Source organism: Homo sapiens, chromosome 4, assembly GCF_000001405.40.
Source record: "Homo sapiens chromosome 4, GRCh38.p14 Primary Assembly".
In the NCBI taxonomy this organism is placed as follows: Eukaryota; Metazoa; Chordata; class Mammalia; order Primates; family Hominidae; genus Homo; species Homo sapiens.
In genome coordinates this window covers 3,934,503-3,956,396 of record NC_000004.12, presented here as the reverse complement: position 1 = coordinate 3,956,396, position 21,894 = coordinate 3,934,503, and the positions used below count along the sequence as shown (strand labels likewise).

General features: G+C 54.0%; 2 pseudogenes across 3 annotated transcripts, besides 6 other annotated features; one reads left to right on the top strand and one right to left on the bottom strand.

Annotated features, from left to right (window-relative positions):
* Positions 11–80: a silencer, noted in NCBI's record as "silent region_15212". NCBI's record gives its function as "represses an Ori minimal core promoter by ATAC-STARR-seq in GM12878 lymphoblastoid cells {active_cell/tissue: GM12878}" and the evidence as "EXISTENCE:reporter gene assay evidence [ECO:0000049][PMID:35858748]".
* Positions 331–410: a silencer, noted in NCBI's record as "silent region_15211". NCBI's record gives its function as "represses an Ori minimal core promoter by ATAC-STARR-seq in GM12878 lymphoblastoid cells {active_cell/tissue: GM12878}" and the evidence as "EXISTENCE:reporter gene assay evidence [ECO:0000049][PMID:35858748]".
* Positions 831–1,270: a silencer, noted in NCBI's record as "silent region_15210". NCBI's record gives its function as "represses an Ori minimal core promoter by ATAC-STARR-seq in GM12878 lymphoblastoid cells {active_cell/tissue: GM12878}" and the evidence as "EXISTENCE:reporter gene assay evidence [ECO:0000049][PMID:35858748]".
* On the top strand, positions 969–14,637 carry FAM86EP (family with sequence similarity 86 member E, pseudogene; annotated as a pseudogene). Of its 3 annotated transcripts, none has more exons than NR_130741.1 (4): positions 969–1,073; positions 3,224–3,286; positions 8,177–8,307; positions 13,025–14,637. The product of NR_130741.1 is annotated as a family with sequence similarity 86 member E, pseudogene, transcript variant 2 (transcript). The 3 variants fall into 3 exon arrangements; NR_130740.1 differs by having other exon boundaries at positions 8,177–9,253; NR_130742.1 differs by lacking the exon at positions 8,177–8,307 and adding an exon at positions 5,178–5,258.
* Positions 8,438–8,938: an enhancer, noted in NCBI's record as "H3K4me1 hESC enhancer chr4:3949186-3949686 (GRCh37/hg19 assembly coordinates)". NCBI's record gives its function as "activates a minimal SCP1, AML or CMV promoter by ChIP-STARR-seq in primed H9 embryonic stem cells {active_cell/tissue: H9 hESC(primed)}" and the evidence as "EXISTENCE:reporter gene assay evidence [ECO:0000049][PMID:30033119]".
* Positions 10,260–10,760: an enhancer, noted in NCBI's record as "H3K4me1 hESC enhancer chr4:3947364-3947864 (GRCh37/hg19 assembly coordinates)". NCBI's record gives its function as "activates a minimal SCP1, AML or CMV promoter by ChIP-STARR-seq in primed H9 embryonic stem cells {active_cell/tissue: H9 hESC(primed)}" and the evidence as "EXISTENCE:reporter gene assay evidence [ECO:0000049][PMID:30033119]".
* Positions 11,349–20,951, bottom strand: ALG1L7P (ALG1 like 7, pseudogene; annotated as a pseudogene).
* Positions 17,963–18,708: an enhancer, noted in NCBI's record as "H3K27ac-H3K4me1 hESC enhancer chr4:3939416-3940161 (GRCh37/hg19 assembly coordinates)". NCBI's record gives its function as "activates a minimal SCP1, AML or CMV promoter by ChIP-STARR-seq in primed H9 embryonic stem cells {active_cell/tissue: H9 hESC(primed)}" and the evidence as "EXISTENCE:reporter gene assay evidence [ECO:0000049][PMID:30033119]".

Here is a 21,894-nt window from a genome sequence, read left to right as displayed (position 1 = left end):
TCTCGGGGACCCTTGCCCTAACCGGCCCCGCCTCCCGGGCCCCAAACCCGGACTCGGCCCCGCCCGAAGCTCCGAATCCTGGGGCCCGCCCCTGGCCCCGTGTCAGCAGACCGTGGGCTCGCTCCTGGACCTGCCTCAAACCCTCCGCAGGTAAAGCCTCCCGAACTTGAGCCACACTCCAATCCCCTCCTCAAACCCCTCCCCGTTTCTCACACCCCGGACCCCTCGATCTGTCTCGGCCCCTCCCCAAGCCCAGCTCCCTCTCGGCCCCTGAGCCCAGCCCCGACCCTCCTCCCAGTCCCTTGGTCCCTCCCGACACCGGCCCCTCCCTAAGCTCCGCCTCCCAGGGCCCGCCTCCTGAGTGCAGCCCGCAGCCCAGACTCGGCCCTGCCTCCCGGACCCTGGGCCCCTCCCCACGTCGGCCCGTCCTAAGCTCCGCCTCCCAGAGTCCGAGCACCGCCTGGCCACGTGCTACGACATATCAACGCCCCACCCTGGCCCCGCCTCCTGAGCCCTTCTCAGGGTCTGACCTTAGCCCCGCCCTAAGACCTGTCTCCTGGGCTCTGCTCCGAGTCTCACCTCCTGAACCCAATCATCGTTTACCCCCACCCTAACGCCCGCCTCCAGGACTCTTATCCTGCCCCCACGCAAGGCCCCGCCTCCAGGACCCGCCAACCTGGACGCTTCCGAAGCCCCGCTTCCAGGATCACCCTGTCCCGACCCCGCCCCAGGACCCGCCAACCTGAACTCTCCCCAGGACCTGCCCCAACAACGCTTATCCTGGCCCTCCCCAGGCCTCGCCCTCATGACGCTCATCCTGGCCCCACCTTAGAAACGCCACCACCACTCTCCTCCTGACCCTGCCCCCGGGCCCCGCCCCCTCTCTGCCCCTGCGCACTACCCTGGGCCCGCCCCCTCTTCAGTCCAGGCCCGGCTTCCGCCCGGTCTCCCGGCAACGCTGCGGCCCCGCCCACGCCATGGCGCCCTAGGAGAACGCGGGGACAGAACTCTTGCTGCAGAGTTTCGAGCGCCGCTTCCTGGCGGCGCGCTCACTGCGCTCCTTCCCCTGGCAGGTGGGCGGCGGGGCGAGCGGAGAGGCCCGCGGGGCTCGCGGGAGTCCAGGGGCAGACGGGATGTGTCTCCGTGCTGAAGCCCCCGGCGCTCCCGCCACGTGAGTGCCTGGGCTCCCGCCGGTCAGGTCGGCGCGACCCGGTCCCCGTCCCTGGGGCCTGGCCAGAGTCGCTCGCACCCCTCCTGCCCCGCGGGCTGGCGGCGTAAGCTGGGGGCGTCTCCACCGTCTTGGGGGGCAGACGCGCGCTCGTTGTGGGGTACAGTTCACGATCATTTTCACGACTTTTTAAAGGCAGTAATCGTTCTGGTCACTGCGACACAGCTGCCCTCGCCCATTCTAAAAAGTCAGCGCCCTCAGGACCGCAGGTAACCACGTCCTCCTGAGTGCGGTGACCAGGTCACAGGCTGTCCCTCGTGCCTCAGTGTTCTCATCTGTATGTCGAGCACTGCACAGAATCGGCTCATGCGCTGAGGCTCTCACGCCTGTGATGGAAGAGACAGAGAAGGGGGTGGCCTCTTGTCTCCCTGGGGACCTCCCATTCTCAGCACAGGCGCATGGCAGGCAGCAGCCTCCCTTCTGCCAGCAGAGGAGCTTAATGCACCCGGACACATTTGTAATTCATGTGCGGTGAGCTCACTGGGATGAGTCAGTTTGGATATATATTCCTCCCTGGGTCTGCCCCATTTTATGGGGTGTTGCTTAATCGTTTGCGTTATTCCATTGACATGAAATATTTGCACTCAGAGATCATTTCTGGTCAGGAGAAATTTGTGCGTTTTTAACCCTAAATAGAAACCTTCCTAAAAGCATCATAGGTCTCCATTCAATATTGACTATAATTGTTCACATGCCCACGCTGAATGCTAACTTGGGCTCACCCTCAACACCCACGAGGTGGGTACTATTATTATCACTCACATTTGACCAGAGGGATTGTTTGATTAGGGTGCAGTAGTTGAGAGTTCAGACCCAGGAGACAGCCTGTCTGCTTCCAATCCTGGCCCAGCCCCTGGCCCTGTGTGACCTTGGGCAAGTGACTGCATCTCTCTGTGCTGTTGTTTTTTTCTTAATAAAATGGGGGATATAATGATAGCTACCTCTTAGGGTTGTTGTCAGGGTTGAGTACAAAAGCCTGTGGATCAGTGCCTGGCTCATGGTAAATGCATGTCGGTGTTAGCTAGTGTTTTTATTCAGTCTCGAAATGTTTAATAAATGCCTTCCGTGAGCCTGGCACCATGGATCAGCAGTACCCATGACAGATGAGGCTCTGCTTGCATGGGAGAGCCAGAGAATAAACAAAGAAATGAATAAACAAGAAAAGACCAGATGAGAGTGGCTCTAAAGCCAATAAAACAGGGAAATGGTGAATGGAGCAACTGGGGAGAAGAGTCACCAAAGTCGGGGAATCAGGGAAGCCTTCCCCAAAGAGGTGGCATTTAAACTGGGGCCTGACTGGTGAAGCAGCCAGCCATGGGAAGGGCTTGGGGAACAGGATATGCAAAGGCCCTGTGGTGGAAACAAGCCAGCTGTGGTTGAGGAACAACAGCAAGGCAGCCAGTGTGGCTGGAGTGGAGTGAGCAGGGTGGGCCAGGGGTGAGGGAGAACAGGCCAGAGAGAGGGATTAGGACCAGGTCTTGTAGGGCCTTTCACAGCATGGAAGGAGCTCTGAAGCAATGAAGTGCCTTGCCCTGTGTCACATACCAGCCGAGACAGTCTGCCTAAGTCGGGAGCCCAAGTTCGCTGCTGGGCTTGAGGCCCCTGTAAGAGGACAATGTAACCCAGGCTGGTATGGGCACATTCTGCATTTCCACTTAAACTCAGATGGCAAGCCCATCAAACCTTGGTGCCATGGCTGCCCTGGTAATTCCTGGCTGACCAGTGCAACCAGGGAGCTGGCCCATGACCTGGGTGGCAGCTAAGTAGCCAGGACTAATGCGGCCAAGAGTCACTCTTCTAGCCTTCTTCCTGTGACTCATCCAGGTGCACCCTGCGGCATCTGAATGTCAGGCTTTCAGCTGCTGTGGCTTCCACTTCCAACTGGCTCCACGTCCCCAGGGAGAGATCACACAGTGCTTTGCCAACACATTCTATTGCGTGTTTAATGTTCTTGTGAATGCACCCTTGAGATTTCTCTCTCTCCCCTCCACACAGAGCTTAGAAGCAAAGTTAAGAGACTCATCAGATTCTGAGCTGCGGCGGGATATTTTGCAGAAGGTAAGAATCCCAGAGTCCCTGGGACTCATGACTCTGCCTCCTGAATCTCTCCGGAAGACCTGAGAGAAGAACCGCAGGTGTGCTTGTACCCTTTAAAAACACCCCTGTTCAAAGAACAAAACCATTGAGTCAGCACTGCAGGTGGGTGTGGGCACCTCCGACGGCTCCAGCTCTTTCATTTTCTAAGACTTAGACAAAGACATCAGAATATACAAAAATCTGCATGAGAGGGGGGAATCTAGGGAAAGTTTTTTAAACCATCCACAGCAAAAACAGAGATGACAGGTGCAAGACAGCTTCTAGCATTTGGTAGATGCTCAGAGACTTTCTTTTTTGCATTCATGAGGCCTGTCCTGCCCACTCCTGTCTCTTCTAAACCTAAATGGGCCCTTGCTTTGCCCAGGGTGGGGTTTGGACTCAAGAGCATCTGCATGCAGGTGAGAGGCAGGATCACCACCCGGCCCAGCCGCAGCCTGACCTTGGCCTTGAGGGCCAAGTGCAGATCACCCTGCATCCTGGGTCTTCACCTTCGAAGGGCCATCAGCCCTTCTGAAAAGACAAAGCAATAGACTCCCTCCCAGAAAGAAGTGCACCAGAAGAATACATTTTCCATACAAACTCAGGGGAGGCAGACATCCTCCACCCTCACCCACCCAGCCCATCCTAGGAGCCCCGGGGAAGAATTCCTGTGCTAGAGGTGAACCAAGATTATCCACGTGGAAAAGATGCAGCCACAGCAGGGAAGACTTTCGGGGCAATACAGTAGGTCAGGGCTTCAAGCATGGAGATACCTGAAGTTATCTCGCACCCTGCTCTGAGTTTCACCCTGAGCCTCACTCTCGTAGGTGGTGAAGCATGAAATGTGGGGAGAGCTGCTTTAAAACCCAGCACAAGGCTGGGTGCACTGGCTCACACCTGTAATCCCAGGACTTTGGGAAGCTGAGGTGGACGGATCACCTAAGGTCAGGAGTTCGAGACCACTCTAGCCAACATGGCAAAAACCCATCTCTACTAAAAATACAAAAATTAGCTGGGTGTGGTTTTGCACGCCTATAGTCCCAGCTACTCGGGAGGCTGAGGCAGGAGAATCGCTTGAACCCGGGGGGTGGAGGCTGCCATAAGCCAAGATCGGGCCACTGCACTCCAGCCTGGGCAACACAACGAGACTGTGTCAGAAAAAATGAAAAACCAGCACCAGCCTGAAGGGCCTGTGTATTGCGTGGGGTACTTTTCTGCCCTTGGGCAGAATCTGCATCCCTCCCAGCCAGCAGGTGCTGCGGACCATCTCCTCCCTCTCCCTCCAGACTCCTGTTTTCCCACCGTCCCCACTCCTGCTGCACCAGTCCCTCTGCCCTCCTTTCCATGTGCTAGGCCGTGGATACCTCAGAGCTTACACCGGCTGTTCCCACTGCCTGGAACTTGCTCGTCCTGCACTTGGCTTCTCTTGGCTTTAGCTGGAGTGTCACCCTGAGCGTCCCTTCCCCTCCATCCTGTCCCCAGGGACAGATGCTCCAAGAGAGCAGTTGCTGAGTGGGCCTTCCCGCCTCTTCCATAGAGCCAGACAGTTGGCGACTGTCCTTACTGCAAACCCTGGTTCACACTGGCTCCCCTGGGAGGGAGGTGGTTTGGGCCCACATGCCCTGTGTTCCTGCTCAGAATGGGCATTAGAAATGCTGCCATAGCCTGTGCCACTGCAGTGGAAGCATTTTTAGGAAACGGCTTATATCTTAAGACAAACTTCAGATGCGTGGGGCCAGAACGCTGTGTCCATCTACATCTTTGCTGAGGGATCGGGTAGCCTGGAGTTTGCCCTCTGCTGTGTTGGCTTGAAGCTCATAGGAGACTTCAGATGGGCTCTCCCCAGCAACCAACGTTCTGTCCTTTGCCATAGACTGTGAAGCATCCTGTGTGTGTGAAGCACCCGCCGTCAGTCAAGTATGCCCGGTGCTTTCTCTCAGAACTCATGAAAAAGGTCAGTTATGGGCAGTGTCCGCAGAGTAGTGGGACAGCATAGCCACCTGCGTGCTGGAGCCCCCGTCCTTCCCAGTCTCTGGGCCTGCTTTGCAAACCCCAGCATGGCAGGGGTCTCCCCAGGCAACTGGCTGCAACTGCGTGTGACCCATGGGAGACAGTGCAGGGCGGGAAGAAGGGGAGGCCAGCGTCTCTCCCTCACTCTGCCTCCTGGGGTTTCCGCAGCAGCTGCTTCTCTGGAGCCCCAGCTCCTAGCATATGGATTCTCATTCCTACCAGGCTGGCCCAGCAAACAGCACTGGAACCCGCACCCACACCCTCTGTCCTGCCCGCCAAAGGGTTTGGAGTTTCCTGCTCTTGTCCATCTCTGGGTTGCCCCACAGGCCCCTGTTGGAAGGTTTAGCTCTTGCCACACCTTTGGAACTAGTTCCTCTGGTGAATTCTCTGCATTGATCCTGCTGGAATGAGCTCTTTCCTGACTGATACAGGATGGATTTTATTTTTTACTTATTTATTTATTTTTTTGAGACAGTCTCACTGTGTTGCCCAGGCTGGATTACCATGGCATAATCTCGGCTCCCTGAAACCTCTGCCTCCTGGGTTCAAGCAGCTCTCATGCCTAGCCTCCTAAGAAGCTGGGACTACAGGCACACGCCACCATGCCTGGCTAATTTTTGTATTTTTAATAGAGACAGAATTTCACCATGTTGGCCAGGCTGGTCTCGAACTCCTGACCTCAGGTGATCCACCTGCCTTGGCCTCCCAAAGTGCTGGGATTACAGGCAAGAGCCACTGCACCTGGCCTAGGATGGATTTTAAAGATGGGCCTGAACATGCAGGGTTTGACATGAGGATGTCTAGAGGCCGTTCCTCACTAGGCAGTAGCAGACCTGCTGAGTGAAAGGGCCACACTTTTAGCAAATAAACAATCCCCTGCTTCTCCAATACCTGCTTTCTCCCTAGTCCTCCCCAAAAGGCTGCATCTGTGGTCACCAGCAGGTCTGCCCTGTGCCACCAGGAGAGGGCAGCGGTCATCCAGTGTACCCTGTTGCTGCCCTGTGAATCTTAGGACGGGGCCAGCCGTGGAGAAGCAGCCTGCTGACAGCCACAGCCTGCAGCATGGGCCGCCCTCACAGTTCTGCCTGGGCTCACTTAAAAGCACCTTTTGTTTTCCTCCTCTCTGTGTTTGATCCAAACACAGAGCTCTCTGTCATGGTCAAGTGGCAGCTCTCATGGAATTCTTGTCTCCTGCCCTAGACTACACCTAACCCTACCCTCTCAACACCTCTTGTTGAAGGCCCTCCCATCCAGGTTTCCCTACCAAGTGAATTTTTTTTTTAGAGATAAGGTCTCTTGCCCAGGCTGTCCTCGAACTCCTGGGCTCAAGCAGTCCTGTCATGTCAGCTTCTAGAGTAGCTGGAACTATTCGGCACACACCACCACGCCCAATGAAGTGAATATTTTATATGGCAGCTGGCCGGTATTACACCATTCCATCCCAAATCTCCCCTCCAAACCTGGCGAAAATCATCTGGCCATTTTTACAGATTAGAACGAAAGCAAACAAGCTCTCACTCAGCCTGCCCCCAGCACGAGGCTGTCCACACAGAGCCTTTGGACGAGCTGTACGAGGTGCTGGCGGAGACTTTGATGGCCAAGGAGTCCACCCAGGGCCACTGGAGCTATTTGCTGGTATGAGAAGGGCACCCTCCTCCCCCTCACAGCCCAGATACCCTTCCTGCACAAAGTGAAAACGTGGGTGTGGGTTCAAATCCTGACTCACCCATTCTGCAGTCTTAGATATGAGGTCCATTAACCTTCTTTAGCCTCAGTTTCCCTGTCTGTAAATCAGGCACTTCAACAACAACATCATGCCTCGTGCGGTTGTTGGGCATTTGTCCAATGGGTGGCACACACTACCTGCTTCACAAGGACCTGGTGCCCAGTCCTCAAAGAACACCTGACAGGGCTGGGTGTGGTGGCTCACGCCTGTAATCCCAGCACTTTGGGAGGCCGAGGCTGGTGGATCTGAGGTCAGGAGTTCGAGACCAGCCTGGCCAATATGGTGAAACCCTGTCTCTACTAAAAATACAAAAATTAGGCTGGGCGTGGTGGCTCATGCCTGTAATCCCAGCACTTTGGGAGGCTGAGGCAGGGGTATCACCTGAGGTCAGGAGTTTGAGACCAGCCTGGCCAACATGGTGAAACTCCATCTTTACTAAAAATACAAAAATTAGCAGGGTGTGGTAATGAGCACCTGCAATCCCAGCTACTCTGGAGGCTGAGGCAGGAGAATCTCTTGAACCCAGGAGCTGGAGGTTGTAGTGAGCCAAGATCGGGCCATTGCACTCCAGCCTGGGCAACGAGAGTGAACCTCTGTCTCAAAAAAAAGTACAAAAATTAGCCAGACATGGCGGCACGTGTCTGTACTCGCAGCTACTTGGGCGACTGAGGCAGGAGAATTGCTTGAACCCAGGAGGCAGAGGTTGCAGTGAGCCAAGATCATGCCACTGACTCCAGCCTGGGTGACAGAACTGAAAAAAAATAACATAAAACATAGATACAGAAAACCACAAAGGACAAACACAGCATATTGAATCATCACAAGGCAGCCACCCCTTCATAGCCACACCCGGCCCCTGGCCACCACTGACCAGTGCTCCATCGCCAGAATTCTGTTGTCTCAGGAATGTTCAATGAATGGAATCCTGTATGGCCTGAGATGAGTGTCTTTCATGCCACATGACACCCTTGAGGCCTGTGCAAGCTGATGGCATGTCAACAGTTAGCTGTTTCTCATTGCTGAGTAGCGATTGGTCCTGTCATGGTTTATTCAGCCATGTGGTGGATGGCTACTTGTCTTCTATGCCACTTGTCTTCTGATTGCTGGACTGACTCTCTCGCCCTCTCTTGGTGCAGCCCTCGGGAGGCTCGGTCACACTCTCCAAGAGCACAGCCATCATCTCCCACGGCACCACAGGCCTGGTCACATGGGACGCTGCCCTCTACCTTGCAGAATGGGCCGAGAACCCAGCAGCCTTCACTCACAGGTGACCTCGGGGCGCAGGGCAGGGCACCGAGGCAGGCTTACCCTGGTGCAGTCACAGACACGGTCCCCTTTCCTCCCACCAGGACTGTCCTAAAGCTTGGCAGTGGCGCCGGCCTCACAGGCCTGGCCATCTGCAAGATGTGCCGCCCCCGGGCGTACATCTTCAGCGACTGTCACAGCCGGGTCCTCGAGCAGCTCCGAGGGAATGTCCTTCTCAATGGCCTCTCATTAGAGGCAGACATCACTGCCAACTTAGACGGCCCCAGGGTGACAGTGGCCCAGCTGGACTGGGACGTCGCGACGGTCTGTCAGCTCTCTGCCGTCCAGCCAGATGTTGTCATTGCAGCAGGTAATGCCCAGCCCCGGGCATCCTGTGCAGGCGGTGTCCTTGCAGCTCTACCCAGCTCTTGGCTCTGGGAAAAGGGAACAATGGATGCTGTCAGGCATGGACATGATGGGGCTTCCAGAAGAGTTACTCTGGGCCTCCAGGCTGACATCAAAGGACAGGGGTGCCTCTTAAGGTGACCTTCAAGCCACAGCCCTCTTGCTGGAGACAGGCATACTCCCGTTCCAGTTGTCACCACATGGCTCTGTCCCAGAGCCATGCCCTGTGTCCTTCAGAGACCACCGGAGGAAAACAACCACTTCTGGGATGAGGACAGGGCACTTGAGAGAAGGTGGTGTTTGGCTGGGCCACCGAAAACCCCTCGCCCCTGCCAGCACACTCAGTCCCCTCTCTGATGGAACAGAGCTCTGCCTGTGGTCCTGGGTCCCAGCCCTGAAAACCACAGGTCCAGCGGTGGCCAGGGACACAGGCCCACCCCTGCAAGCCAGCAGACAAATCAGCGGATACCTGAAACACGAAGTTCATGGCAGATTCAGGCTTTGTGTCATTCAAAGCCCTCTAGATAGGCCGAAAACCAGAGCTGGTTTTTTAAGGAACACCAGTGAGTCTGGACATTTTTTTCTTTTGCTTCGGTCTTTTGCAGCTTTCTCTAAGGGTTCTCCTTTTTCACCGTAGTAATTGCCTTTCCATCTAATGGCCCAAATGTTTAAATGGCATCTAATAGTCTCATATGACCGCTGCCTCTCTGGCCTCGCCCTGCTGCTGTGGTCAGCATGACCTGGAACTTTCCACTTGTCCCTTTCAGTAACCTGAAGATTTCACCGTAGACGTGCTGTATTGCCCAGAAGCCATCGTGTCGCTAGTCGGGGTCCTGCGGAGGCTGGCTGCCTGCCGGGAGCACCAGCGGGCTCCTGAGGTCTACGTGGCCTTTACCGTCCACAACCCACAGACGTGCCAGCTGTTCACCACTGAGCTAGTTGAGTCCCCACGCCCACCCGGGCCTGCATGGTCCCCGAGCTGTCCCTGCAGGACTCCAGTGGAAGTGAAAGAACTGGGCGCCGGCGTAAAGCTAGCATGCCCCACACTCCCACACCATGCGGGGAACTCGGGCAGAGGCCGGTGAGCAGGGTGGGCTTGGAGCATGGGGGGCTTGAGGCAGGAGGAGGGCAGCTCAGCACAGGAAGGAGGGTCTGAGCCTAGCAGCCCTACTGTGTGCTTCAGAGCAGGGTTCCCTAAGCCCTTGGGCCTCTGTTTTCTCATCTATAAAATGGAGGTGGTGGGAGGGGCAGTCGGGGTCAGGGCTGGACACAGCTGTGGCCAGCAGGATGCTGGAGCACAGGCTGTACAGGCGGATCCACCACGCCACTGTCCTGAGCACCCAGTCGGTGGAAGACAAGCAGAGTGACTGTAGAGAAGGGGAATTGGCCCTGTAGTGGGCCAGCCACTGTCCTTAGACCTAACATTTGTCAGCCCCCAGCACCTGTGAGGGTGTGCTGTCCTTGTCCCATCTCAGTGACAAATACACTAGGACACACGGAGGCCAAGTGACCCCCGAGCTCCCGCACACTGCAGCCCGGCCACCTGGCTCGCAGGTCTCCACACTACATCCAAGCCCCCCATTGCCACCAGCCTTTGCCCCAGCTCCCCCTGAGCACAGCCCCTCCTGGCAGCCATGTGCACAGATGCACGCACAGCAGCCTCTGCCTGCACACAGAGACACGGACGACCCAGTGACTGTCCACGTGGGGCAGCCCGTTAACTACAGAGTAAACAAACAAGCCGGCACACGAAGGCGTACTGGGTTCCACGACAGAGTCCTGCACAACCTCGCACAGGAGGCTGGCCGGGTGCGGGGCCCAGGCCTGTCATCCCAGCACTTTAGGAGGCTAAGGCAGGAGGACTACTTGACCCCAGGTGTTCAAGACGAACCTGGGCCACATAGTGGGATCCCGTATTCACAAAACATACAGAAACTAGCCAGGCGTGGTTTCACACACCTGTAGTCCCAGCTACTCGGGAGGCTGAGGTGGAGGATGGCTTGATCCCAGGAGGTGGAGGCTACAATGAGCCCTGATCTCACCACTACACTCCAGCCTGGGCAACAGAGCAAGATCCTGTCTCAAAAAGGCAAAAAAAAAAAAAAAAAAAAAGGAAGTCTTTCTTCAGATACTTACGTGAAAAAATACCTGCAATATCTTTTAAGTGAAAAAAACAGTGCCAAGCAGCACACATAGTATAAGAACCCACCCACCATTTTTTTTTTTTTTTTTTTTTTGAGACAGAGTCTGGCTTTGTATTGCCCAGGCTGGAGTGCAGTGGTGCCATCTCGGCCCACTGCAACCTCTCACCTCCCAGGTTCAAGCTATCCTCCCATCTCAGCCTCCTGAGTAGATGGGACTACAGGCAGGTGCTACCACACCTGGCTAATTTTTTTATTTTTTGTAGAGTCAAGGTTTTGCCATGTTGGCCAGGCTGATCTTGAACTCCTGACCTCAAGTGATCTGCTGCCTCAGCTTCCCAAAGTGTTAGGATGACAGGCGTGTGCCACTGTGCCCAGCCCCATTTTTGTTTAAAAACTAATAATAATCACCCAGACATGGTTATGACTACCTATATTCCCAACTACTCAGGAGGCTGAGACGGGAGGATGGCTTAAGCCCAGGAGTTTGTGGCAACCTTGAGCAACGTAGCAAGACTTCATCTCAAAAAAAAAATTATCACAATCATCATTTTCACATAAGTATACCTATAGGAGAAAACCTAGAATATATATATAGCAGGCTTGTCCAACCTGCGGCCCAACACAAATCTGTAAACTTTCTTAAAACAGTACGAGGTTTTTTTGTGAATTTTTTTCTTTTAGCTCATCAGCTATTGCTAGCGTTAGTGTATTTTATGTGTGGCCCAAGGTGATTCTTCTTCCAATGTGGCACAGGGAGGCCAAAAGATTGGACATCCCTAATACACTCGTTAACAGGTGCCATCCTTGGATGGCAGGATTATAGAGACTTCTACACATTCATGTCTGCACTACTTCATTTTTATAGATATGCATTTTCCACTTGTAACAAAAAACTGTGATTGAAAATCATCCCGGGTCACAGTGTCTCACACCTGTAATCCCAACACTGTAAGAGGCTGAGGATTTGGGAGGCTGAGGTGAGCGGATCACTTGAGGTCAAGAGATCAAGACCAGCCTGGCCAACACGGTGAAACCCCATCTCTACTAAAAACACAAAAATTAGCCAGGCGTGGTGCTGCACGCCTATAATCCCAGCTACTCGGGATGCTGATGCAGGAGGATCACTTGAACCTGGGAGGCATCGCAGTGAGCTGAGATTGCGCCACTGCACTCCAGCTAGGGGAACAGAGTTAAACTCCGTCCAAAAAAAAAATAATAAAAGAGGCTGAGGCAGGAGCATCATTTGAGGCCATGGGTTCAGGACCCCATCTCTACAAAATAAAAAAATTACTGGCATGGTGGCACGCACCTGTCATCCCAGCTAGTCAGGAAATGGGAGGATTGCTAGAGCCCAGGAGTCAAGGCTGTGGTGAGCAATGACTGTGCCACTGCACTCCAGCCTGGGTGAAAGAACAAGATCGTATCTCAAAAAAAAAAAAAAAAAAAGAATCATTCTGGCTAACGGCTCTTCAGACATCTGTGCTTATGAGAACACCAGCCCCTTCTAAGCTGTGTGTGTGTGTTTTTGTTTGTTTGTTTTGTTTTGTTTTTTTTGGTGTTTTTTTTTTGAAATGGAGTCTCACTCTGTCACTCAGGCTGGAGTGCAGTGGCACAATCTCAGCTCACTGCAACCTCTGCCTCCTGGGTTCAAGCAATTCTCCTGCCTCAGCCTCCCAGGTAGCTGGGATTACAGGCACCCGCCATCATGCCTGGCTAATTTTTGTATTTTTGTAGAGATGGGGTTTCACCATGTTGGCCAGGCTGCTCTCGAACTCCTGACCTCAAGTGATCCCCCCACCTTGGCCTCCCAAAGTGTTGGGATTACAGGCGTGAGCCACTGTGCCCGGCCGCTTTCTAAGCTTTGTGAAGAGTGGGTTGACTGGGCAGCCAGGTAGATGTGGGTTCAGAGCTCTGCTTCTGTCCCGCTGTGCCAAGTGCTGGGGCAGACGCCAGCAGAGAGTGGACAGCGGCACGGTGCCTGCTGCTAACCATTTCTATGCAAAACCAGATTTCTGGTCCCATCCTGGAGGCCAATTCTAGGTACCTGGGTGGGACTGGGAAACTGTGAAACAAGTAGACTGACTTGGACACTCCCCCACCACACCACGCCTGTCCTAGCAGCCCCACACAATACGCTCATGTCCTGTCCCCAAACACCGCCATCCTCAAACACATGTGCTCTGTTTCCAGGCCAGGCCAGGATCAGATGGGAAGTGGAAGCTTGTCATGACCAGAAACTGTTTCCCTACAAAGAGCACTTGGAGATGGCAATGCTGAACCTAATACTGTAGGACTCACACGCGACTTCAACGGGATTGTGAGGATCAAGTCACTCTCATGGGAAGAATTTTTACATGGGAAAGCGGATAAAACTTTCATTGGACTGGAATGTTTGGAGAATATTAATTTCCAAATCAGGAACCACAAACTGCCCTCTAATAAGACATCGGCTATCTAAGCGTGTGGGTGCCCCCTTTCTGCCAGCAGTTCTGGTTCTTAAGAAAATCACCATAAATCAGACATGAAAATTCTGGCTCTAAAAATAGCATTTTCTTTGTGCAAATAAAAACGTGTGTATCAAGTATGATGTTCCCCCAACGTGGACACACCCGGTTCCTCACAAAGCCAAGCCCGCTGCAGCTGCCACATCCCTGGGCTTACTGTGCAGCAGGTGCTTTTTTCAAGACAGGAATCAAAATATTAGGAACACGGCAGAAAGGCGACACCTGGAGACCAAACGCAGGATGAGGAGTACTGCAGAGGTCACAGGGAAGTCACAGAACAGTAGTACGCTAGCAGGGGCATGGGGCGTGAAGAACAGAAGAAGAGAGGAAGTGTTTCCAAGCCTCCAAAAAAGAAATCAGAGCCAACCACAGCTTCCCGGGTCACAGAAGCAATTCACTCACCAGGCGGCACCACTGCCGTCATTTCAGCTTCTGGCCACTGGGAGGCGCTGCTTGAAAGGGTTTGCCCTGAGACTCCAAGAAGAAGCTGCGGGAAGGACAGCAGGGGCCCTGGGGTTTTAGCCTCTGGCCCAGGAGTTATGTGTCCATAACCAAAGGGAGCACAGTCTGCACCCAGCTCTCATCCCATCGGAGCTGCTGCGACTCCCGCAGGTTCTTCCGGAACAGGTTTAGCTTGCCTGCAGGATCAGGAAAGTTTGAGAAAAGCATCTGCATAATACTAAAGAGCAGAGCTTACCTCATTGCCTGTCCCCACCGCATCCCAGGTCACCACCTGGCTGACCCCAGGTGCCCGACCCAACAACAACCCCTACCAAGTTCTTAACTCCCTCACTTGGACTCGAGACTCTTCACGCCCCAGCAGCGCTCCGCCTCCAACTTGACATCACGCTTTCTGGGAACTTCCCCGCATGTCCCACTTTCCCACACTTGGTGTCCTGGGGCACCTCCCGGCCTCTTCATGCTGTATGCTCCCCTGCGAGCACCCTCCTCTTGGCCTCTGGCCAAGTCCCACCCATCTGTGGGTAACAAGGGGGTGTCGGTGTTCTTTTCAGCCTTGCTAAACTGTCTGAATCAAGGATCACAAACTACAGCCTGCAGGCCAAATCCAGCCCACAGCCTGTGTTTGTAAATAAAGATTTATTGGAACAAAGCCACACCCCTTAATCTACAGATGATCTGTGGCTACTTTCACACCCCAACAGAGTACCATGGTTCTGACAGAGACTAGGGGACCCAGTCTAAATGACTTCCGACTTGGACCTTTACTGAAAATCCTGCCAGTCATTCTGTTGGCAAGAACGATGTATTACTTTTTGCAATAAGAAACAAGTAACATTTGCAGAATTCCACCCATCTTTCAAGGCTGGTCCCAGAAGCTCCCTTTGCCCACTCACCTACCTGATCCTGCTCACTTCCTAAACTGCAGCCCGGCCCACCCGGCTCCAGCGTCATTTGTGGAGTGTCTGTTCCATAAATCCAGCGGGCAGGCGGGCAGGTGGGGTTGTGTCCTAACTTTCCCGAGCCTACTGTACCGAAACGGGACAGCAGAGTAGGCCAGCCTCTGTGACCTCTGCTCCCTCCCTAGCTTTTCCGCCAGACCCCACATGGTCCCACCCCGACTGTGGGAAGCAGGGATCAGGGAGCGTGGCTCGGTGCCAGTCTCCAGAACCCTGCCCACCCTGGCTTAGTGGCAGATGTGGCTACCTGCAGCTGAGCTGCCAGTTCCTCTGAGTCCTCAAAGACCAAGCCGTTTTCTTGATGTTTCACCAGCTCATGTAAACTGCAGAGAGAACCAAGGGAGCCTGAGAGCTGCCTGGAGAAGACACCAGACCCCTGGGGTGCCCACCTGGGCTCCCCTCGCACCCCACGCTCAAGCCAGGCTGGGGATTGGAACAGGGGGTGTGGTTTCTGGGAGCTGGTTCTTAGATTTGGCATCTGAAGGGTATAAAGGCCTGGGGGAGTGCACATCAAAATGGCCAAACCGATTTGAGGAGGGAGCCTTAAGGAGGGTTTGTACCTTCTGTGCTGGATGCTCTTCAAGGACTGAAGAATTATTTTTGTATGTTTTTCTTAATTCCATGGCTGTGGAACAAGTAAGGCAACCCCCTGGAGACTGGTTCAGCACATAAAAGATGACTTTTCTAGGGCACCAGATTTGATCAAGACGTTCCCTGAGCTCAGCTCACACGAGGGGCTTGAATCCCTGAATCCCATCCAGGAGCCGGCTCCTGAGCAGGGGCCAAGGGCTCAACTTGTGCTGGGGCTACTGCTTCTAGAATCTCCTCTAACGCCACCCTTCCAAACACCCATCTATGCTGGGTGCAGTGAGGCCACAGCATGACACTCATTTAACTCATTCAAACCCACCATGTGAGCTTGGCCAAAAGGGACATGGTGGGAGAGAAAAACAAAGAAAACCATGTAAGCCTGCAGGCAATTCCCGCCAATTCTACTCTAGGAGCAAAAGCCCCGAGTGGAGTTCTAGTATTTAAGGTGCTTTCTTTTTTCATATTAGGTTGGTGCAAAAGTTATTGCCATTTTTAATGGCAAAAACCGTGATTACTTTTGTACCAACCTAAATATAACATGAGTTCTAAATGGAAGCAACTACTTCAGTGAGGCTCAGCCCAGCCACAGTAACCACAGGGCTCCTCCTCATGGCCTCCAGTGTGTGCTGGACTGACCAAGGGGCAGGGCCTCACTGTGGGCAGCTGGCTCTGCACTGTTTCCCCCTCAGCGGTGGATCTGTGAAGCTATCCCCAGAAAGATTCGGGTTCTGCTCCTACCACTTGAAGTTCACAACGCACACACAGGCAAACAGCTCCTGAACATGTCCACCACCTTCATGGGCAGGTCCAGGCCACTGGAGGACGTGTCTAGACAGACACCCAGGTCCACCGACCCTGCTAGGCAAGAGGGGTGCGGTCAGAGAGCTGGTCTCTGCCCTGGGAACACAAATCCTCCCAGCACAGTGAGGCAGCATCCCCCGAGGGGAGTGAAAATCAGATAAGGCCCCCCGCAGCCCCAAGCACAAGTGGCTTAAGCTGGCCAAGCAGCCACATGGTCTGGCTGGGACATCTGAAAATGTAAGTTGACACTTTTTCTACGTAATCACAATTTGGTTTTTTTGTTGTTGTTGTTTTGTTTTGAGACAGAGTCTCACTCTGTCACCCAGGCTGGAGTGCAGTGGCACAATCTCAGCTCACTGCAACCTCCACCTCCCAGGTTCACCTCCCGCATGTAATCCCAGCATTTTGGGAGGCCAAGGTGGGCGGATCACCTGAGGTCAGGAGTTCAAGACCAGCCTGGCCAACGTGGTGAAACCCCATCTCTACTAAAAGAAACACAAAATTAGCGAAGTGTCGTGGCAGGTGCCTGTAATCCCAGCTACTCAGGAGGCTGAGGCAGGAGAATTGCTTGAACCTGGGAAGGCAGAGGTTGCAGTGAGCCAAGATCGTGCCATTACACTGCAGCCTGGGCTACAAGAGCGAAACTCCTTCTCAAAATAATAATAATAATAATAATAATAATAATAATAATAATAAACCACAGCACACCCACTACAAACCAGCTGTCAGTGTGAAAATAAAGCGAAACGGCTTAACATTTCTAAAGACTAGCTGGGACCAGGCGTGATGGGTCACGCCTGGAATCCCAGCACTTAGGGAGGCCAAGACAGGAGGATCACTTGAGGTCAGGAGTTCAAGACCAGTCTGGCCAACATGGTGAATCCCTGTTTCTACTAAAAATACAAAAATAAGCCAGGTGTTGTGGAGGGCTCCTGTAATCCCATAATCTACTCGGGAGGCTGAGGTGGGAGAATCGCTTGAACCCAGGAGGCGGAGGTTGCATGAGCTGAGATCGTGCACTCCAGCCTAGGCAACAGAGCGAGACTGTCTAAAACAAAGACTAGCTGGAGAGTCCTGCCAGGAAAAGGCCTCAGCCTCCAACTGCTCTGCTCACTAGAAGCTGGAAGATGCGGCTCTAGAGACGCATCAGGACCAAGACACAACTCCCCACTTGGAGAAAACAACGGGGAAAGAGACGGAGGCAAAGCAGAACCATCTCACTGGGAGAGGCGACGCTGTTTGACACATCGTCCCTGTACCTCCCAAAGCCACTGCCTTCCTACACCTGGGCAACAGTGGCCCCAACCCCAGGCCCAGCCCTCCTGCAGGAAGGAAGAGGACTGAATGGAGGGCGTGGCAGGCTGAAAGGATGTGACCTCCTCAAACCCCTTGGTAAAGGGCCTCTGGGGCCACCTGGCTGGGAGGGGCTGGCACACCAGAAAGTAGCCTCCTCCCGGGAGTTCAGCCAGAGCCCAGGTCCCGTGCCCAAGTGGCCTCCAGAGCCACCTTTTCAGAAAAAGTACATCCTGCCCACCCCTGTTCCCCCTGCTTAAGGCCCTGCCTCCTCCCTGAGCCTCCCGCTGGCCTCTCACCTAGAAGCGGGGGTAGTCCTCGGCCCTCCAGCCAGGGGGTGCAGACCTGGATGTGCTGGAAATGCTACTGGTGGATGAGGCGGCTGTAATACTCCCTCAGAGGCCCTTTGCCTTCACAGAGAAGAGGAGACACTGCCATGGACCCGTCTCTGTCCCTGCCACATGGCCCCAGGCTCAAGACACTCCCCCCTAGGAGGGATCCTTTTCCCAGAAGCTCCACCCCTCGGCAGCTCCAGTCAGGCCCCATCTGGGCCCTTCCAGAAGCTACCCAGGAGCCCCGAGACATGCAGGGGTGTGTGCACCCTGACCCCTGAGGCATAGTCCTGCACCTGCAGCCAGCTGGCCTCGGGCTGCAAACATGGCGGAGTAAGCACTGGCCTGGCACCCGACCGCCCACTGGGTGGATCCAGCCTTCTGTCTGTGTTGTGCGCAGGGGACACGAGGACTCCCCCTTCCCTGGCACAGCCCCCAGAGCACATGGCGCAGGTTCCAAGACGCCCCTGCCCTGCCACAGCCTCCAGAGCACATGGCGCAGGTTCCAAACCACTCCTGGGAGCCTAGAGGCCAGAGGAGGGAGGAGAGCAGGAGCAGCAGCTGGCCCAGACCCCGCCTCTTCCCACACCGCTTCCGCTTTTCTCCCTCCTCACTGAGTCACCTTGAAAGGGCTCAGCAGCAGTAACTGTGGGACAGGGGCTCTTCCGTTTAAAAAATTAAAAGACGCTTGGTTAAGGCACCAATGACATGGCCAGACACAGTGATTCATGCCTGTAATTCGAGCATATTGGGAGGCCAAGTTGGGTGGCTCACCTGAGGTCAGGAGTTCAAGACCAGCCTGGCCAACAGGGTGAAACTCCATCTCTACTAAAAATACAAAAATTAGCTGGGTGTGGTGGGCCCCTGTAGTCCCAGCTACTCGGGAGGCTAAGGCACGAGAATTGCTTGAATGTGAGAGGTGGAGGTTGCAGTGAGCCAAGATCACACCACTGCACCCCAGCCTGGGCGATAGAGACTGTGTCTCAAAAAAAAAAAAAAGACACCAGTGATGTAACAACAACAACAAAAAAGATGCTTGGAAACTACTGAAAAAGTAGAAAGCTTGGTATCTACAGATTCAAATCTGGGCTCCCTGCCCTGCTGTGAAACCCTCTGAGCCTCAGTTTCCCCCATGTCAAGCAGTATAAGTCCCTATGGCAGAGAGCTGCAGTGAGGATTAAGGAGACAAGATCGTGGGAAGCACAGGGTAAAGGCTGCGTGCCCCTCCCCATCCACCATCCCCCAACCACACAGACACCCAGGGGCCCAGGCGGTACCTGTTATCACACAGACGAGAGAAGGAAGGTTGTGTCCGTCAAGAGTCAGTTGTTCAAACTCTGTGTTTAAAAAAAGAAACAATTCTACACGGAATTTCTGGTAGAATTTTTTTTTTTTTTTTTTCCGACAGACTCTGGCTCTGTCACCCAGGCTGGAATGCAATGGCGTGATGTCAGTTCACTGCAACCTCTGCCTCCCGGGTTCAAGTAATTCTCGTGCATCAGCCTCCCAAGTAGCTGGGATTACAGGCCCCCACCACCATACCCAGCTAATTTTTGTATTTTTAGTAGAGACAGGTTTCGCCATGTTGGCCTCGAACTCCTGCCCTCAGGTGACCTGCCTGCCTCGGCCTCCCAGAGTTCTAGGATTACAGGTGTGAGCCACCATGCCCATTCAGAAAAAAACTTTTAAATAAACAATAGCCAGAGTCACCTGTTCAGGTGGAGAAAGAGCACTGCTCTGGTGGGGAGGCCACCAGCCTCTGTGAAATACTCTCCTGGAGGGGGCATTTCAGCCTGAGGGCCTGGTCACTCAATGACCCAACTGGGGATTCAAGGCGGCCCACCTCCACCATCCCCACTGTCCCCAGGCTGCCCCACCCAGTGGCCAGGGACAGGAACATGCTGCAGGCCAGGCAAGCAGCTCACAGCTCAGTGGCCCCCGACAAGCCCAGAGCTCCTCACCGCAGCCACACACCTACTTTCTAAAGCTGCCAGCAGGATGGAGAAGTCTTCGTCCTCTATGAGAAGAGAATTGAATGTCAGGGTCCTGTTTCTAGACACCCCTCTTACAGCTCTCACGACCTCCCCTTCTCATTGAGACCGTGGCAGGGTGGGGGCATGAAGGACTGGCAGGTGTGAGGACAACACAGGTTGGCCAGGTGCCTGTCACACCAACCCCAAGTGTTGCAGGGGTCGTGCAGACCTGTCCAGCCTGTGCTGCTGACCAGCAGGGCTGGCCGCTCGTGGAGACGCATCACCAGCCCGCTCCCAGCATCCCTCTTCATGAAGGCCGACCGCTCCGTGGCTGGGTCCTCAGGTTCTGAGCTGAAAGAGCAGGAAAAAAGCTTGTGAGAGGCCACAGAGCAGGCCCAGGACCCAGGACGGGCATCTCCTGCCGTGGCAAGGCCTGCAGGCTCCCAAAGGTTGGGGTGCCCGGCCACATCAGCAGCACCAGGTCACCCCTGCCATCCGAGGCCTGGGCTTGCTTTCTCTAATATTGTTGCTGGGTGATAAGTTTACAACAGCAAACAAGACTGACTCATTCCTTTTCTCCACGGGACTTACTGTCTTATCATCCCCTGGACTCAAGATGAGGGTGCAGGGACGCCCTCCCACACCACCCCAGCTTACACAGGGGCACACCTCAGGGTGCGTGGACCTGCACAAAGGTCCCCTCCTTAGCCCCATGAGACACCCCAGGGGACACACAGGTCCACAGGTCCTGCCACAGGCCTGGGAACCCATTGGCAGGAGAGTAAGACAGCGCAGGGGTCCACAAACATTTCTTAAAGGGCCAGAGAGTAAATACTTCAGGCTTTGCGGGCCACAGGTTCTCTGTTGCAAAACACGATTCTGCTATTGCAGCTCAAAGGCGGCTGTAGACAACTCAGAAGTTAATGAGTGTGCTGTGTCCCAATGACACTTGATTTACAAAAGCAGGAGACTGGCCTGTAGCCTTACTTTGCCAACCCCTGGGTGAGTGGGTTCCCAGGTCTGCAGTGAGAAGGGGACAGGCCAGGGCAGTGGCGAGCAGGAGAGAAGGCAGCTGAGGATGGGAGGCCTACCGGGCCCTGAACGGAGAGTGTGTGCCGCTGAGCTTCATGAAGAGCTGGCGCTGCAGGTCCAGAGGTGTGTCTTGAAAGAAAGATGCCGGCTTGTCATAGACGGTCACAGCCCTGCAATGAAATCATGGCAGGGCTATTGGGAGGGCTGAAGAAAGGCCTCAGGAATGGAGGACTCAGAGGCTCCAGGAAAAGAAGGACGCTTGGGGAATCCAAGTCTCAGGCGATGACAAGAAGAAGCCTTGCAATTACTTGGGAATGCACAGAGAGATGTCCTAGGACCAAAAGTGCCTGGACACCCTGGCTGGCTGGGAAAGAAACTCTGCCCCCTCCTCTCCCGGCTTCTCCAAATTTTCCCATAGTGTTGCCAAGCATTAGTCCAGCGTGGAGACTACTTTTTGCTCAAACCACTCATTTGGGTCCCGCGCCCCATGTAACCCATCCTCAGCAAAACAACCTTTATTTCTTTCTTCCTGGTTTCCAGAAAGTTCCCCTAAAGCCCTAGGAATCACCGAATGAAAGGGGCTTTTTACAAACAGGAAACTTAAGTGGAGTGCCAATACACAACATGAATTGCACCAGGCTGGGTCTAAGATAAAACCAGACTGTGGACAGCAGGACAGAGAAGACCCACATGGCTCTGCACTGCCGGGGTCTGTTATGGTGTGGAGGAATGTCTTACTCTGTTGCTCCTGTGGGTGTAGCTAAAACACGAACCAGGAGTCTTCATCCTTAGAAAGTAGTTAGACAGACACCTGAGAACCAATCTCAAACTGCAGCCTTCCACAGAACCTTCTGGAACCTTCCCGAATGCAACTCATTACTGCCAGAGGGTCTTTGATGAGAGTCTACTCTCTACCATTTGTCTTCAAAGAGAATACCCACATATTCTCTTTCCATGGAAAGGTAAGTTATTAGAGTTTATGCAGTCTGGTGTATTAATTGAGAGCTTCAAAGAATGTCACTTTTTCGATTCAGTCTCACAGACTGGGTTAAAAAGGCAGTGTTGACTATTAAGTTGTAAATTACTATAATGATCATTATTATTATTCAAGCAAGC